This window comes from Homo sapiens, chromosome 4, assembly GCF_000001405.40.
Source record: "Homo sapiens chromosome 4, GRCh38.p14 Primary Assembly".
In the NCBI taxonomy this organism is placed as follows: Eukaryota; Metazoa; Chordata; class Mammalia; order Primates; family Hominidae; genus Homo; species Homo sapiens.
Genome location: NC_000004.12, coordinates 105,184,212 through 105,201,752, shown reverse-complemented (window position 1 = coordinate 105,201,752; position 17,541 = coordinate 105,184,212). Strand labels below are relative to the sequence as shown.

Below are 17,541 nucleotides of genomic sequence, written 5' to 3'. Positions count from 1 at the left end.
AAAAAAAAAAAAAAAAAAAAGGTCCTGGATGAAGATGTTCTGTTAATGATACCATTTTAACTGTATTGGCACTAATTGAATTCTAGCCTCAACTTGGTAACCTTCTATTACTTTATACTTTGCTTAGTACAATCTATAATTAGCAGTCCTTAAAACCCCTCAGTAAGGTTAAGTTTAAAAAAACACAACTCTCACAAATAAGCAATACTTCCACTTGTGGAACTGTTTGATTTAAATGTTAGCAACTGATAATTTTATTTATTAGAAGCTACAGTAATTGAGCACTGAAATGGGAACAAAAACAAGCATAGCACAAATGCACCCCCTATTGTATTATTTACTATCATACATGAAAATAAAGTTATACTTTCCTTAAACTTTTTAGGAAACACCTTGCATTAGAGCAACTAAAATATATAAGCGTGAACCACTCCAATAGAAAACAATTCCTAAATTACACATTTGTGGGGGAAGTGATGCCTTTTTTTTGAAGAAGAGATAATTTTGTTTAATAGGTTAATTTATCCAGCTTTAAAAAATGTATCAAGTATAACATTTCTAAATTGAACTCTTGATTTACAAGTATTTAATGATTCAGACAGATAATTAAAGGGAATTCTCAGTCCTCAAGGGGTTGAAGGATTCAACAACATGGATTTCAACCGTGGTATTATCAAGTAACTCAAGATGTAATAATCTCAAGAACATAAATTTAAAACTTGAATATAAAACAAGACATAAGCACTCCAGTGAAGTCAATCTTTTTTCTCATTTTGATTAAAAGTATGACCTGGGGCCAGGTGTGGTGGCTCAAGCCTGTAATCCCAGCACTTTGGGAGGCTGAGGCGGGCAGATCATGAAGTCAAGAGATAGAGACCATCCTGGCCAACATGGTGAAACCCCATCTTTACTAAAAATACAAAAATTAGCTGGGCATGGTGGTGTGTGCCTGTAGTCCCAGCTACTCAGGAGGCTGAGGCAGAAGAATTGCTTGAACCCGGAATGTGGAGGTTGCAATGAGCCAAGATTGTATCACCACACTCCAGACTGGTGACAGCGTGAGACTCCATCTCCAAAAAAACAAAAACAAAAACAAAAACAAAAACAAAACAAACAAAAAAAAACAGTGTGACCTGGGAGTTAAAATTAAACATATGCTTATATCAGATCCAGTTCATAGCAAAAATTCACAAATGGGATCTAATTAAACTAAAGACATTCTTCATAGCAAAATAAACTATCAACAGAGAAAACAGACAACCTACAGAATGGGAGAAAAATTTTGCAATTTATGTATCTGACAATAGTATCCAGCATCTATAAGGATCTTAAATTTACAGGAAAAACAAACAAACAAACAAACATCCCCATTGAAAAAGTGGGCAAAGGACATGAACAGACACTTTACAAAAGAAGACATACATGCGGCCAACAAACATATGAAATAAAGCTCAACATCACTGATCATTAGAGAAATGCAAATCAAAACCACAATGAGATACCATCTCACACCAGTCAGGACGGCTATTATTAAAAAGTCAAAAAATAACACGTTAGTGAGGTTGCGGAGAAAAAGGAACACTTATATGCTATTGGTGGGAATGTAAATTAGTTCAACCATTGTGGAAGACAGTGTAGCGATTCCTCAAAGACCTCAAGACAGAAATACTATTCAACCCAGCAACCCCACTACTGGGTATATACCAAAGGAAAAAAAAATTATTCTATTATAAAGACACATGCACACATATTTTCACTGCAGTCCTATTCACAATAGCAAAGACATGGAATCAACCTAAATGCCCACCAATAATAGACTGGATAAAAAAAAACTGTGTTATATATACACCATGGAATAACATGCAGCCATATAAGAGAATAAGATCATGTTTTTTGCATGGACATGGATGGAGCTGGAGGCCATTATCCATAGCAAACTAACATAGGAACAGAAAACCAAATACTGCATGTTCTCACTTATAAGTGGGAGCTAAATGATGAGGACATATGGACACAGAGGGGAACAACACACACCGGGGCCTATCAGAGGGTGGAGGGTGGGAGGAGGGAGAGGATCAGGAAAAATAACTAATGGGTACTAGGCTTAATACCTGGGTGATGAAATAACCTGTACAACAAACTCCCATGACCCAAGGTTGCCTATGCAACAAACCTGCACGTGTACTCCTGAACTTAAGGAAAAAAGTTAAAAAGAAATAAGCCACTTGATGGTATGGAAAAAGATTTCCATAAATTTCCTTAAAGGAGGGACTTGAAGAAACAAGATGGAAATTAATAAATTGTAAGTTAAAATCTCCAACATTTATTTAGAAAATCACAGTCACAAAGTGAAGGATAGTAGAGATTCATTCATCAGCTGCTTGCCTGAAAAAAAGACAAAAACCTTTGCGGACTAACTTCAATGTGATTAAATCGTACGCTCTTACTATCAAAAAAGCAAGTGTGCTTTGAGACTGTATTAATAGATGTGCAGTATCCAGGCAATTAGAAGAGAGCCCTATAAGGATGTAATCATGTTTAAGATACCAAACACCAAACTTTAATATTTAAGGGACCAGTAAGTTATAAATGAATCCAACATTCTTTAATAAAGAGTAGAAGACCTAGAGTGACAGATTCTTGCTCAACTTGCTCTCAAACTTCTCTTTCTACAGTAAAACATTTATGTTCATCAATACTATTGGAATTAGAACACTAAACATATCCCTAAAGTTTCCAAATAGCTAAAACCTCACAACTCTCAACTGCAACACATTTAATTTTGGTAGGACACTTTAGTGAAAAAAAAATGTAAGTATCAAATGTTCTGCAAGTGTTAATTATAATTAAGTATCTCTGAGGTTCAAGCTCTAATATAGTGTAACTTCGCAAATGAGACTATCATGTTTTGACACTTGAAGTTCTGACTACTCGACTCCCACACTGATGTACCAGATCAGTGAGTTCCCAAATATTACCACAAGTATCCAATTAGGTGCTAGACTAGTCCTCTTAGGAATGCAGTAAAGAAGGTTCCTGCATGGTATGGAAAGGGAATGTTCATTTTTTCAGCCTACAAGGCATATTTTTTCCAGATGATAATAATAGCAATTTTGTAAACATTCTGATTCTCATAAATTTAGAAAACATTTTCTTGCCCTTATTTTCTGGCTACTGCTTCTTTCTCCATAACTTCCTTCTGTCTCCTTTAACTGGTCTCAAATATTTGATGTTAGCATTTTATAACATATTTTAGTTTCTGACTTAGGTTAATTAAGAGAAATATCTTCCATATCATTATCAAAAGCTAAGTTTTAAAAAATATATTTTGATAGTTTTCCTTTTCATAGGACAATGACACCTTCGTTAAATCAAAAAGCATTTATTTATGTATTTTATTTATTTATTTATTTATTGAGACAGAGTTTCACTCTTGTTGCTCAGGCTGGAGTGCAACGGCACGATCTCGGCTCACTGCAACCTCCACCTCCTGAGTTCAAGCGATTCCCCTGCCTCAGCCTCCCGAGTAGCTGGTATTATAGGCATGCACCACCACCCCCAGCTAATTTTGCATTTTTAGTAGAGATGGGGTTTCACCATACTGGTCAGGCTGGTCTCAAACTCTTGACCTCAGGTGATCCACCCGCCTCGGCCTCCCAAATTGCTGGGATTACAGGAGTGAGCTACCTCACCTGGCCCAAAAAACATTTATTAAATACTTACTATGTAGGCATTCAGAGATGCTTTTCTACGTTGCTACTCTAGGAAGACTTACTAATAAAATAAACATCATAGTAATTCTAATTTTTCAAATGTCTAAAAGGTGACTCACTTTCAAAAAATAAAACTTTTGGAAAAACAGAAAGGGACAATTAAAATATAAATTAAAAAACAAAACTACTCTTCCTTGCCTTACTCTGAAAGTGAGTAAAGGGAAAAACCTTTCAGAGACCATCTGGTTTTATATTTCATTAGTGAATATATGATTTTATTTTGTTCTAAATGAAATACACTTGAAATGCCTAAATATTTAATTCTACATTTGATGTGGGAAGTGTATTTACTTTCCTCTATAGCTATGGATATTAAGAATCACTTTTTACTCTTTGGTCAGGGAACCTAAAGCTTAGAAGTCTTTCCTAAAATGCTCTCTAGAGATCTACAGTATTAGTTTTTCCCTGCAAGCCTGCATCCATTCTCAGCCACATCACAAAGCACCTGGACAGCACTCTCAAACATATGGCCTCCTACAAGAGCCTACATTCTAAAGTCCACTGACCACTTTCTGCTTCTCTGACAGTGAAAAACAGAACACAACCAAAAACTGCTGGATAAGAAAATCTATAATCAATGATAAACTTCTCATAATTTTCAAAATATTTTCTGTATTCATGTATTTCTCACTAAGGTCTTGAGCATGTTTAGTCATCAGAAATTATCACCTAATAGACATCAAATATCATTCACAACAGCTCTCAAACTTCTCTTTCTACAGTGAAACATTTATATTCATCAATACTATTAGAATTAGAACACTAAACATATCCCTAAAGTCTCTAAATAGCTAAAACCTCACAAATCTCAACTGCAACACATTTAATTTTGATAGGATACTTTAGTGAAAAAAATGTAGGTATCAAATGTTCCACAAGTGTTGCTTATAATTAAGTATCTCTGAGGTTCAAGCTCCGATATAATGTAACTTTGCAAATGAGATTATCATGTTTTGACACTTGAAGTTCCAACTACTCGACTCCCACACCTCTTCCCTCCACTTAGTGGGCAAGTGCTGTATCTATTTTAAGAAGTAGGAAGAAGTTGCCAGTAGGGGGAGAGGGAAATAAAACATATGAAAAAGATCACAAAGTCAACCTCTTCTTTTAAATTGTATGATTGAATGCCTACTATGTAACCAGATACTGTGTAAAATATTAGTAATAAGAAGACAAGATGCAGCCTTTGCCCTAGGAATTTCAGAATCTGCAAAGGAGACAAGCATAAACAAATGACTACAGTAAGTAGGATGTTTGAGGAACAACAGTGCCACAACAAATATGAAGCTTCCCTTATGAGAAATCTGAGCTGTGTAGTTAAGAGAAAAGGGAAGTTCATCAGGAGAGGAACAGCGGTACAAAGGTTCAGTGTGTAAAATACGATGTCACGGTAAAGATTTACAAATCTGAAGGGACAATATAGTAAGGAGGAATTTGAAGAGTAACCAGGAGCCAGATCAGGAATATCAAGCATAGAGTTTGATCTACTTTCTGTAGGCTGATGGTTTTCTGTACTGAGTTCTTCAGATTCCTGGGTTCACAGAGCTATTCAGGGCCACTCTGAAAAGGGGATAAGTAGGTGTCCCCAAGAATTCTACATCACATCTATTTTTGCATTAACCAAATAAACTCCATTCTAATTGCAAAAACTTCAAGTGGTGAGGTGGGGAGGGGGAAGCTTCCACTCCTTTAATAAAGTCTGAAATGGGTATCCATAAAAGAAAGGATATTAAGAAGGGGTATAGATGGTCAGATTTGCACTTAAGAATGGGCATACAGAGGTACTTTGAACTGATCATCAGAAAAAAAAAAAAGAACAGAGGCAGAGGGAACAATTAGGAAATAATTTATGGAAGTGGTGAGATGACTCTGAAGAATGAAAAGAATGGATATGTCTAAACTGTGTTTTGGGGTAGAGGTGGAAAAATATGGTAGAAGTTCTTGGTCTACAGGTTGAATGCTCTCAATGCAATAGGAAGCAAGCTGGTGAGCAGGACTTAAGGAAGGGTATTGTGTGTGAGTGTGCACAAGTATGTGCACGTGTACAAGTGGGGGTAGGAGTCAAGATCTTGAGAAGATGGTCAAAATATTTTAAGAAAAGTCCCCAAGACTCCTACCAAGATTCAAGGACTATACGTGTCCTTGGTTGAGAATTACAAAATTGCTACGCACATAGACAACATTATAGTCAGCCCCCCATGGGTATTCATGGATTCCAGCATCTGTGGATTCAATCAATCACAGATCAAAATACTCAGAAAAAAAATGGATTGCTGTGTTTGTAATGAACATGTACAGATTAATTTTCTTGTCACTATTCCCTAAACAATACAGTGTAATAACTACTTACATAGCATGGACATTGTAGTATTATAAATAATCGAGAGATGATTCGAAGTATATGGGAGGGTATATGTAAATCATGTGCAAATACTGCACTATTTTATATAAGAGACTTGAGGATCCACAGATTTTGATATCCATGGGGGGTCCTGGAACCAATCTCCCACAGATACTGAAGGACAACTGTAATTATATGATCATAGATTCTTCTAGAACATCATTACTTGTTTTTCTAGTCTTTCAATATTAAATGAGCTAAGAAAATCCATACTATTTTCACATTTTGAGAAAAATGTCTGGTCAGATTAACATCTGTAAAGATGAATAAACGTTTTTAGTGCCTGTATTTACATTGCAATTTTCTTTCAGAATACAAACTGTTTTCACTAAGACTCTTCCATTTCTACTTAAAAGATCCTGAGATCAACAGAGGCAGCTGATATTTCACCTTTTGATGAGGAAACTGAAACACAAGAATAGTGAAAATGACTTTCATAAGGTGCAGTCTATTTTAGCATGCTTTACTTGTTCTAAAATCAAAGGACACATCATATGTGGATATGCATTAAATGCAAAAAATGCTATACAGCTATTTGTGAATTTAGGGATTGCCAAGGTTGTCAGATAAATGCCACAAGAAGGTCAACAGTCTTGTTTAATTCAGTCTCTTGGGACACAGAGACTACTGATACCACTCTGGGCCTTAATATATATGCAAGACACCATGTATAAGAGTGGTTTTGCTTTCACATAGTTGAGTTATGACTTGTATCATACCATGTGGCATGTGTAATGGAGAGAGTAAAGAAGTGTATAAAGAATTGTAAAGCTACTGTAAATACATGTCTGCTCACTTGCTAGGTAATTATATTTTATTAGAATAAAAAACAACTGATAAGTAGTAGAAAAATTGAAGAGTACAGTTTGAAGAGCACTGTATTATGATCTCTAAGGTCTATTTTTTCTTTTATAATCCTGTGACTCAAAGAATAAACTGCTCAGGCTTGCTAGAACAATGACTATGGATTTTAGTTCATAAGAATGACCTGTAAGGAAGTAACAATGAAGTCTTAAAGTCTAAGTATTGGCTTAAATTTGAAGAGAAATCAGTAGCCAGATCAGGAAAATCAAGCAAAGAGTGTGATTTATTTCCTGTAGGGTGATGGTTTTTTGGGCCAATAAGAAAAGCTATTTTTCTTCTGAAAGATAAACAGAAAAATAGTACAACAGTAGAAATATCATTCCTCCTTATACTACTGAAAAGATAAAAAGATAACATTGTAAATCAGGAAACTTCAACAATGACTAAAGGTGGGAGAAAGTGATTAATTAAATCAAGAAGACTGAAGCTTCTAAACAAGTTAGATCTGTTTCATGAGAAAGGGTAAAATGTGTATGTTAATTAGAAAAATGGCTACAAGAGAGTGCTAACAGGCAAGTCAAACCTTCTAATCCTATTCTCCACAAGCAAGCCAGCAAAATACAAACCACTAATACTTTTTTATTATTTTTTTATTAGCAGGAGGAGAGTCTCAGTATGGAGACCTGGGCTAGACCAAGTTAGATACTAGCTAGAGGCATGGCTATAAAGTCATGTAACATCTCTGGGTATCCTTTTTCCTTCCACAAAATGAACTAATTGGACTAGCTGATGTCTAATGGTTCCAAATCAATAATTTTTTGATTCTCTGTCTCTCCAACTTATTATAAAAATACAAAATTTGGATAGCAAACAACTTTTGTACTATGTTAGTATTACACGGATTTAATGCATAGTAAAAACAGCTCTTAGAAACTTAATTCAGCCTATATGACAAATATCAAATGAACTTTAGTTGCCTTAAGAATATCTGCATCTGATTGTCTTAACTGACTCATGCTGAATTCAAACTCATATGTCCCAACTTCCCTATTTCTTTTAATACCAACACGTAATTAATCATTTTGAAAATTTTAGAGAAATCTTTGACTCCTCTCTTTTATCTCTTACGTGCAGTCAGCAAATAAATCCTCATGATTTTTCCTTAAAATATATAAAATCTATCTTCCCTTCTCTCTTAACAAAATCCATTTTCAATTTATCTCCTAAATTACTCCAACTACTGCCTCCATTTCCTTATTTGTTTAAATTTGTAAAAATAATGATATAGCTAAATACAAGAATTCACCTTTCTACTCATCTGCTCTAATTATTCCCCAATATTTTCAGGATAGCATGCAATAATCTTTAGCTTGACTTTAGGATTTTACTAAATTTGGCCTTACCCTGCTTTCCCATCTTCTCTCTATTTGCCAACATGAACTTTATACAAGGTCGCCTTTTTCCTGCTTCCCACTTGCCCTCTGCCTGGCCCATTCCTGCCCTAAAGGCCAACATTCTTATTTCACTCCATTTCATGCTGTTTCCCCTCCACTTCTCTCCACTGGGATGTCATTCTTTGTTATCGATCCCAATTCTTCCTGTCCTTCAGGATCCAGGCCATGCCCTGTCACCTTCCTTTGTGAAGCCTCCTCTGTTATAGTCCAGATGGACCTTGCTATTCAACTTCCAAAGTTCTTGTCCATATCACTTACTTAAGTGTATGTGTAAATATTTACTGATGTATAAGATACTGTGATTCTTTTTAAATCACTCTGCATAAAACCTTTTACTACTCCAGGTCTTTTGGCTGTTCTCCACTACCTGCAATTCCTTCAGATAACTTCATGGCTTGTTTTTATATCTTTATCAGATTTTTATTTAAGACATAATCTTCTCTTGAAGCTGCCTTACTTGACTACTATATCTTCAATTACTACCTAACCCTGCCACTCAATTTCCTTTTTCTGCTTTACATTTTTAAAACTTAGCACTTCTTGGTATTTACTATATTATACATTTTATTTTGTATGTGTCTGTCTCTTACTCTAATGGATTCTAAGCTCAACAAGGGAAGAGATTTTTGCCTCTTACTCATTAATGCCACTCTAGTTCCTAGAAGAGTGCCTGGTATTTGGCAGGTGCTCAAGAAATATTTTTGAATGAATTCATATTTCAAAAACTAAAAGCAACATTAATAAAAGTGGTTAATAATAAAACAAATACCAATATAAAATTGAGAACTTACTATATGTTGGGCAATGTACAGGTAATGCATAAAATAATCCTGTTATTATCTATTATTACCTACTTTCTTCTTTGCCATTTAAAGCAGGGCTTACAGAGGTTAAATAATTTTCCCAAGAACACATTCCTAATAAATGTACTAAAAATAAACTCTAGGCTTATTTGCTATTGAAAATATGTCAAGGGCTGAGCTTATCCAACTGTAAAAAATTAAATGCAAAACAAGATTTTTGAGGAGATATGAGGGAAGAACTCCTCAGAGAGCTACCTGTAAAACCTTTTCCCTCAATGGCTAATATTTTAATTTGTTGTCTTCGTTTTTTTTTTAAGTTATCTTATAATTTTCCATAAACTTCTGCACTTTATTCCTTACCCAGGCTTAACGTTCAAGAAGAGAAAATCTTCTGACTAATGTTATGACTTCATTAAGGAGGAAAATTCCATCTTAAAAATGCGCTCTCAGTTCTCATGTAAAAGACAAGAGCAGAATGAGTAGTCACAGTTCTCACAGAGTGAGGTAAAGCAATCATCAAGGGAGGAGGGGAAAAGTAAAGAATGCTTTATTCATAATTACCTAAGATTTTCCAGCATGAGAGGGGAAAGAGGAAGTCTATTTTCAGTGACAATGATTACTCTAAAAATATTAACATGCAAGGGGAAAATTTTCATTCTGAGAGTTACTACTATACTGAGTTCTCTTTCCCTCACAGAGTGACTTAAAATTCCCAAGGTAGAGAGGTAATCTAGACAGATGCGCTTGCCCTGTGTCTTGAAAATGGCAACATCCAGGAATCATGGGAGTTCAACTGAGGACACACTGGAAAGGATTTCTCAGCACCAGAACAGTCTCTGAGAAGTATCAAGTGGCAGAGTGGATACTTATATCCTCAGGTGTCTGCAGTAAGGCAGAGATTAGAGCTATACAGGCTTATTAGAAGATTTGTTATGCTGAATGCATAAACAAGATTTAGTGAAACTGAAGCTGAATTACCTACTAAAAGGATTATAGACAAAAAAAAAGCCTAATTCTTCCTTTTTTCTATCTAATCCAGAGTCTCTCCTGCAATGTCTCTATAATTTTAACTGTCTTATATAGTTCAGGCAAAATTATATATTGTAGAATTCATTCTCATCTTCATCTTAAACATTTTAGACAAAAATATATTAGTTCCCTACTTCTATACATGCATATATGAGAAAATGGTCTGACAACCCTTAGGTTGGGACACTCAGCAGGTCATGGCATTCAGAGCAAATTGATTTTTATTAAGATAATTATAAGAACATGATTAAAAAAGTATTTTGTATCTCCCTCTTTCTTTTGTATTTTCAGAAAATCATATGAACTGGGCCTGGGGGCATGCACCTGTAATCCCAGCTCCTTAAGAGGCTAAGGCAGGATGATGGCTTGAACCCAGGAGTTTCAGAGCAGCCTGGGCAACATAGCCAGACTCTGTCTCTATCCATTAAAAACAAACCGTATGTAAAATCACATAGCTGCTCCTGAGATCTGCCATTCCATAATTTAGTTCTCTGCTAGTTCTATGGCACCAAATTGTCACAAGACTGACTAGCCAGGTGCAGGAGGTACTCACTTTTCAGATCAGCAAGTAACCACAAATACCATTTATTTGGTCCTTAACAAGATTGAGACGAAGTGGCTACAAGTGAAGCAAAATGGAGGCGATAAATACTCTAACAACTGGTTATAGATATCACATTTTCTTATGTTTATAGTTACATTTGAATAATCCTTACCTCTTTTTAAAAACTCCATAGACATTGAGAATTGATAAAAATCTATCTTTCTCCAGAAAAATACAGCTATACATAAGTCAGTACACAACTTTAGTAAATTCACAAATCTTAACAATCTAATCCATGTGTCCTAAGCATAGACAATAAAGAAAAGTATTTGAGAGGGTGCAGGGTAACTTGAAGTTGAAGTTTGGGAGAGAGATTACCATTACATTAGGAATAAATTCATACTTGACAAACAAGTGTCAACTGTCTCCACTGTCTTACCAGCAGCTCAGTCCCTTACTGCTCTTCCTGGATCATGTCCTATTGGCTGCTGCTGAGCCCATCTCCTGCTTCCAAGCGTTGTAACTCAACAGGAGCAAAGGCAAGTAAACAATCTTGAGAGGGTGTGCTGCTGAATGTTTGCCAGCCTAGAGAAGACAGAGTTTGAACATTTTTAAGTTAGCAAAAAGGAACAGGGTATATACACCTGATATAAAGAGTTTAAAAGGTTTTGGATACCTATAATTGGATATTTCCATTACAGTGTGGCTGTTAAAAAACTTAGAGAATCTTTCTCAAAGCAATGACACTCTCAAATGTACCATAATAACAATTCTAATATCTGTAGAACACTTTGCCATGCCCAAAGCATCTTTAGTCTTCACATCTTCACCGCAATAATCAATGAGGCTTAAGAGCCAGTGGCTTATATTACTTCATCTGTTGAATCCAGTGGTTCACAGTGTGGCTTACAAGAGTATCACCTAGGTAAGAAGTTGAGGATTTTGCTCAGAGATTCTGACTTGTTGAGCTAAGAGGAAACTTTATTCTCCAGGTGACTGTAAGATGAAGTCAGGATTGAGAATCATTAAGTCCCTGTACTTCATGAGATGTGGCACTAACTAAACTCATAAATAGCAAGCATTCATTCAGTATATGCCATGTCAAGGTAACATGCTAAGTGCTATGGAAAAGGTAAAACATTATAACATGTGGTCTCTGTGCTCAAGGGTTTTAATTTAGCTGGAGAGACTGGACATATACTTTAAAAGGACCACCTAATAAGATACCTACTTTAAAAACATAACCCAAGTAAGACTTAATTGGTCAAAGATGTAGTAAAAATATTGGGTGCTACAAATAAGTGGAGATGACATGCACTGATAAAAGGGAGTAGGTTAAAAACATGAGAGAAGTCCACAGAGTTCCAAGGGCAGAGAGAAAAGAGGAATGGGGAGAAAGCGTTGTTTTGAGGCACAGATACAGCTGCAGCAAATTGGAGGAGATTAAAAAGCTCTCTCTGACTGAAGAGTGTCTACAAAGGAGCACAAGAAGACTTTGGAAAGACCGATTTGAAACAGAATCTAAAGAGTTTTGATAAAATGGCTAAAGGAGTTGGTCCATTGTCCTGAATATATGGAAACAGTATTGGAATATCCTGAAATAGTATCTGGAATAGTATCAGAAGCAGTTGAAGCTCAGGTTCCCGGGGTTCTTGGTAAATGCCAGACACTATGCTAGATGCACTACATATGTTACCTCATTTAACACTCAAAAAAATCTGGTAAGATCATTATTATTATCATTATCATCATTATTATTATTCCCATTTTACAGAGTAAGAAGGGAGGTCTCTTAATTTTTTCTCAAAGTCACATGCCTAGAAATAGTAAGCTGAGACTGGGACACGTTGCTTCTTTAGAAACATGGCATCATAAAAGCCATACGTTAAAATTTAAGGGGTGTTTTGAGATATAATTCACATACCATAAAATACATCCTTGTAAAGTATATGAGTCAGTGGGTTTTAGTATATTAAAAAAAATTATGCCACTCTCACCTATCATTACTATCAAATTCTACAATATTTTCATCACTCTGTCCCCCTCGCCCCAAAAAACCCAGTACCCATTAGGAGCCAGTTTTCATTCATTCCTCCCCCGGGCCTTGGTGACCACTAATCAACTTTCAGTCTTTATGGGTTTTCCTATTTTGAACGACTTTATATATATAAAACCATACAAAATTTGGCCTTTTACGTCTGGTTTCTTTCACTTAGTGTAATGTTTTTAAGGTGCATCTGTATTGCAGCATGTGTCTGTACTTTATTCCTTTGTATGACTAATATTCTACTGTTTTGATATGCCATGTTTCCTTTAGCTATCAATGATGAACTTTTGGGTTACTTCCACTTTTAGCCTCATAAATAATGCTTCTTTGGATATTCATTTCAAACTTTTTAATTGTGATAAAATGTATGTAACAAAGTTTGCCATTCAAACCATATTTAAGTATACTATTCTGTGGCATTAAGTACATTCACATTGCTGTGCAACCATCACTGCCACCCATCTCCAGAACTTTTTCATCTTCCTAAACAGAAATTCTATACTCATTAAACAATAACTTCCCATTTGCTCCTCCTCCCAGCCCCTGGCAATCATTATTCTACTGTATGCCTCTATTAATTTGACTATTCTAAGTACCTCATGTAAGTGGAATCATAATATTTTTCTTTGTGTGATTGGCTTATTCCACTTAGTAGAATGTATACAAGATCCATTTATTTTCTAGCATGTGTCAGAATTTTCTTCCTCTTTAAGGTTGAATAATAGTCCATTGTATGTCTATACCACATTCTGTTTATCCATTCATCCATCTGTAGGCATTTGGGTTGCTTCTACCTTTAGGCTATTGTGAATAATGCTGCAACAAACATGGATATACAATGTTTATAAGTTTTTGTATGGGCATATGTTTTCAATTCTCTTGAGAGTGGAATCCCTAAGAGCGAAACTACTGGGTCTTATGGTAGTTCCATGCTTAATCTTTTGATGAACTGCCAAACTGTTTTGCAAAGTGGCTGCACCTTTTTACATTCCACTAGCAATGTGTCAGGGTTCCAATTTTTCCATATCCGCACTAACACCTGTTATTGTATGTTTTAAAAATTATATCCATCCCAGTGAGTGTGAAGTGGTAGAAGATTTAGGTGTTATAAATAATCATATGCAAGATATTGGCTTATTGCAGTACTCAAGTATAAGCAATAGTTGGAATGAGAGGGTGGCAGAATAAATGAAATAAAATGATCAAACAGAAATATTACTGATAAAGAAATGAATGGCATTTAGTAACATTTTAAATGTAAGAAGAAAAAAGAAATTCAATTATAGTGATAAAGCTTTTGAGTTTGGTTGTCTGAAAGAATGATGCTACTAATGAGATAAATAGATAATTCTAGAAAGGAATCTGAAATGACAAATTCTTGACATGATGCATTTGAAAAAACTTATGTATTCCAAATAAATATTCATCAGGCAGGTGAAGTACAGGAGGTCAGGGTTGGAGTCAATAGGCTATTTCATTTTTCTTTTTAAAGAAATGATCAAAGAAACATTATTAAGATTAGAAGAGGGTTATTGCCTGTATATGATTAGACTCTTAAATCTGAGTTCAGCAACTGACAAACCAAATACTGAGGAAGGCAGAGGAGTTTTTACCTTCTGTTTTCTGTTTAAAATAGTAAAACAAAACTTAAAAAGTAAAAAATATAACTTTATTAAGCTTTATAGAACTTGTTTTTATCAGAATTTGAGTTGGTATCACATTTTTAACTATACCAAGGTGGTGCTTGTGGTTCTTGGAATGGTGTGAGCAGTTCTAGGGGGATTTCCCTCTCTGAGCTGGCACAAGATTGGGAGTCCTGGAGGACATGAGTGTCACTACCAGCAGTTATCTGGTTGACTGGGAATCAAGCTGGCAAACTATCAAGGAGAAACCATGAATTCTAGTTTTATATGCCCAAAACAGTCCCCTTTAGTAAAAAGAGGTGATCCCCAACAAATAGAATAGTCTCTTGCTAGAATATAGTTCCTCAGTAGCCAATAATTCTGGCTTTGTTCAGCTTTGCAAAGTCTCCAATATGATAATATTCTGATAAATACAGTGATGACTCACAGGCTTATATACATGTTTTGAAAGAGAAGCTTAATGATGCTATTTTGGATCATGAAGCCAGGCCGCGGTGGCTCATGCCTGCAATCCCAGCACTTTGGGAGGCCAAGGTGGGTGGATCACTTGAGGTCAGGAGTTTGAGACCTGCCTAGACAACATGATGAAACCCCGTCTCTACTAAAAATATAAAAATTATCCAGGCATGGTGGTGCAAGCCTGTAGTCCCAGCTACTGGGGAGGCTGAGGCGGGAGAATCGCCTCCAGGAGGCGGAGGTTGCAATAAGCTGAGATCGCACCACTGCACTCCAGCCTGGGTGACAGAGTGAGACTCCATCTCAAAAAAAAAAAAAAAAAAAAGAAAATGCAAAATACAGTCAGCTTATACACTGAGTTTTCCTTCTGCCATGATACATTGAGAGTTATAAAAAAATCACTTAGAAGATAAAACGGAACAAACATATGAAGGGTAGTGCTGAAGACAGAGGTTAAGATAAGGGCCATGAAGGGGGTTAAAGAAAAATCTAAGCCGATGAGCACATTTAAATGTTCTCATTCCCACACACATATCTACTGTTGTTTTTGTTTTTTTGTTTGTTTTCTTGAGACAGGGTCTTGCTCTGTCACCCAGGCTCAAGTGCAGTGGCACGATCTCGGCTCACTGCAGCACTGACCTCCCAGACTCAAGCTATCCTTCCATCTCAGTCTCCCAAGTGGCTAGGACTACAGGCATGTACCACCACACCCAGCACATTTTTTGTTTATTTTTTGTAGAGATGAGGTCTCACTATGTTGCCCAGGCAGGTCTCAAACTCCTAACCTCAAGTGATCCACCTGCGTCAACCTTCCAAAGTGCTGGGATTACAGGTGTGAGCCACCACGCCCAGCCATATCTACATTTTTAATTGAATAAAATACACTTCACCATCAAAGTTGCAATCATTTTGAGCATAATATCATTCCTAAACATATTTTCCTTTGTTCCCTAAATTGAAGCCTATTCTATTTTATCTTTATAAACTATTCACTGTTCTATTTTTATTTTTTATTTTTTAGAGACAGAGTCTTGCTCTGTAGCCCAGGCTGGAGTGCAGTGGTGCGATCTTGGCTCACTGCAAGCTCCGCCTCCCCGGTTCACGCCATTCTCCTGCCTCAGCCTCCTGAGTAGCTGGGATTACAGGCGCATGCCCCCACGCCTGGCTAATTTTTGTATTTTTAGTAGAGACGGGATTTCACCGTGTTAGCCAGGATGGTCTCGATCTCCTGACCTCGTGATCCGCATACCTCGGCCTCCGAAAGTGCTGGGATTACAGGCATGAGCCACTGCGCCTGGTCTCACTGTGTTTTAGAAAGGTATTATCTACTTTATCTGCAATATTTTCCAAATAGATTTAGAAAAAAAAGACAATAAAAATAGCTAAAATTTATTGAATGGATTCTAAGTCATCTAATTTTCAAAATACTATCAGTTGTTTACCTTAGCACACCCTTTGTGGGTGGCAGGGCCTCCAGAGCCTGTGCTCTTATTCAACATGCTTCATGGCCTCCACAAGCTTGTAGGAGATTCAGTGAAACATTTCATTTTGGGGAAAGGTAAATAATTCTACATTTCAAAGCCTAGAGACAGACAAGTTTTCGTTCAAAAATGAAGGAAAAAAAAAAACCTCTTCTCTAAAAACCAGTCACTCTACCTATAAACATGAATATATCATTACAAGCTAGGCACCTTATATAAGAATCCTCCATTTGGGGTTTAAATGCATTTTCCTTTCAAGAGATAGATCCACCATTGATCAAACATCATCAAACACTTCCGTTACAAAAAAGGGACTTTGTTTATCATGCTGAATTTAGTCCTTCCCTTCCCTTTGTGATATTAGTACACCTTCATGGCATGTTTCTTCAAAGCCCCAGTAATAGATGTTTCCTTCCTGTTGAAATGCTGCTTTGGCTGCTTCTGTGCTTGATGTGGTTCTCCTCCAGGTTTAAATGGGATGAGACTGGAGTTCACTAATCAGCACGTTACTCACCTCAGCAGGATATGCCCACAAAGTGTTTCTCCTATTCTTATACACATGAGTACACACATAAATACACACACACACACACACACCTCTCTGCAAGTAAATGATTCCAACTGTACAGTGCCTAAAGGGAAGTGCTATTTCAGAATGTCAGCTACTTGGCAGTGATGGCTATTCTCCTGTTAATGCTTTAAAAAACCACTACAGTAGTCAAAGTTTTAAGAAGAAAATTAAAGACCTTAAATGTATTCACTTCCTGCTCCTCCTAACATAGACAAAGTGGTGACTCCCAGTAAAGAACTCAGTGTTTGCAGAACAAATTCCATGAAGATAAAAACAAGCATACACCATATGAGGTTGTTTCTAATTAACAGTCTTTATATAACTACGATAGCCAAACAAGGCTGAAATATCAACCACCAGTTATAAACAATTTAACATAGTATTTCCATTATACAAAGTGATTATTTAAGAACCAAACACTGGAACATGAGAGGTACAGGTATAAATTCACAAGGCATTGTGTATAGATTATCAGATCAATTTATATAGTTTCCGAAAATAAAAAGAAGTTATGAGGGAATATTTTTTAAAATAA

At 36.1% G+C, this 17,541-nt stretch overlaps 1 protein-coding gene and 1 long non-coding RNA gene across 14 annotated transcripts in view; one reads left to right on the top strand and one right to left on the bottom strand.

The window, feature by feature from the left end:
* TET2 (tet methylcytosine dioxygenase 2) overlaps nt 1–17,541 on the bottom strand; it is a 133,929-nt gene that overhangs the window by 78,051 nt on the left and 38,337 nt on the right. For 11 of the 13 annotated variants that reach the window (XR_007057933.1, XM_024454103.2, NM_017628.4 and 8 more), the window contains one exon: nt 11,248–11,393. The exons of the other annotated variants lie outside the window; for them this stretch is intronic. The gene's annotated coding sequence lies outside the window, so the exon portion shown is untranslated. The remainder of the gene's footprint in view (nt 1–11,247; nt 11,394–17,541) is intronic. 13 annotated transcript variants of the gene reach the window in all.
* The window catches only part of TET2-AS1 (TET2 antisense RNA 1), a 181,528-nt gene that overhangs the window by 151,129 nt on the left and 12,858 nt on the right, over nt 1–17,541 (top strand). The gene's annotated exons all lie outside the window — the stretch shown is intronic.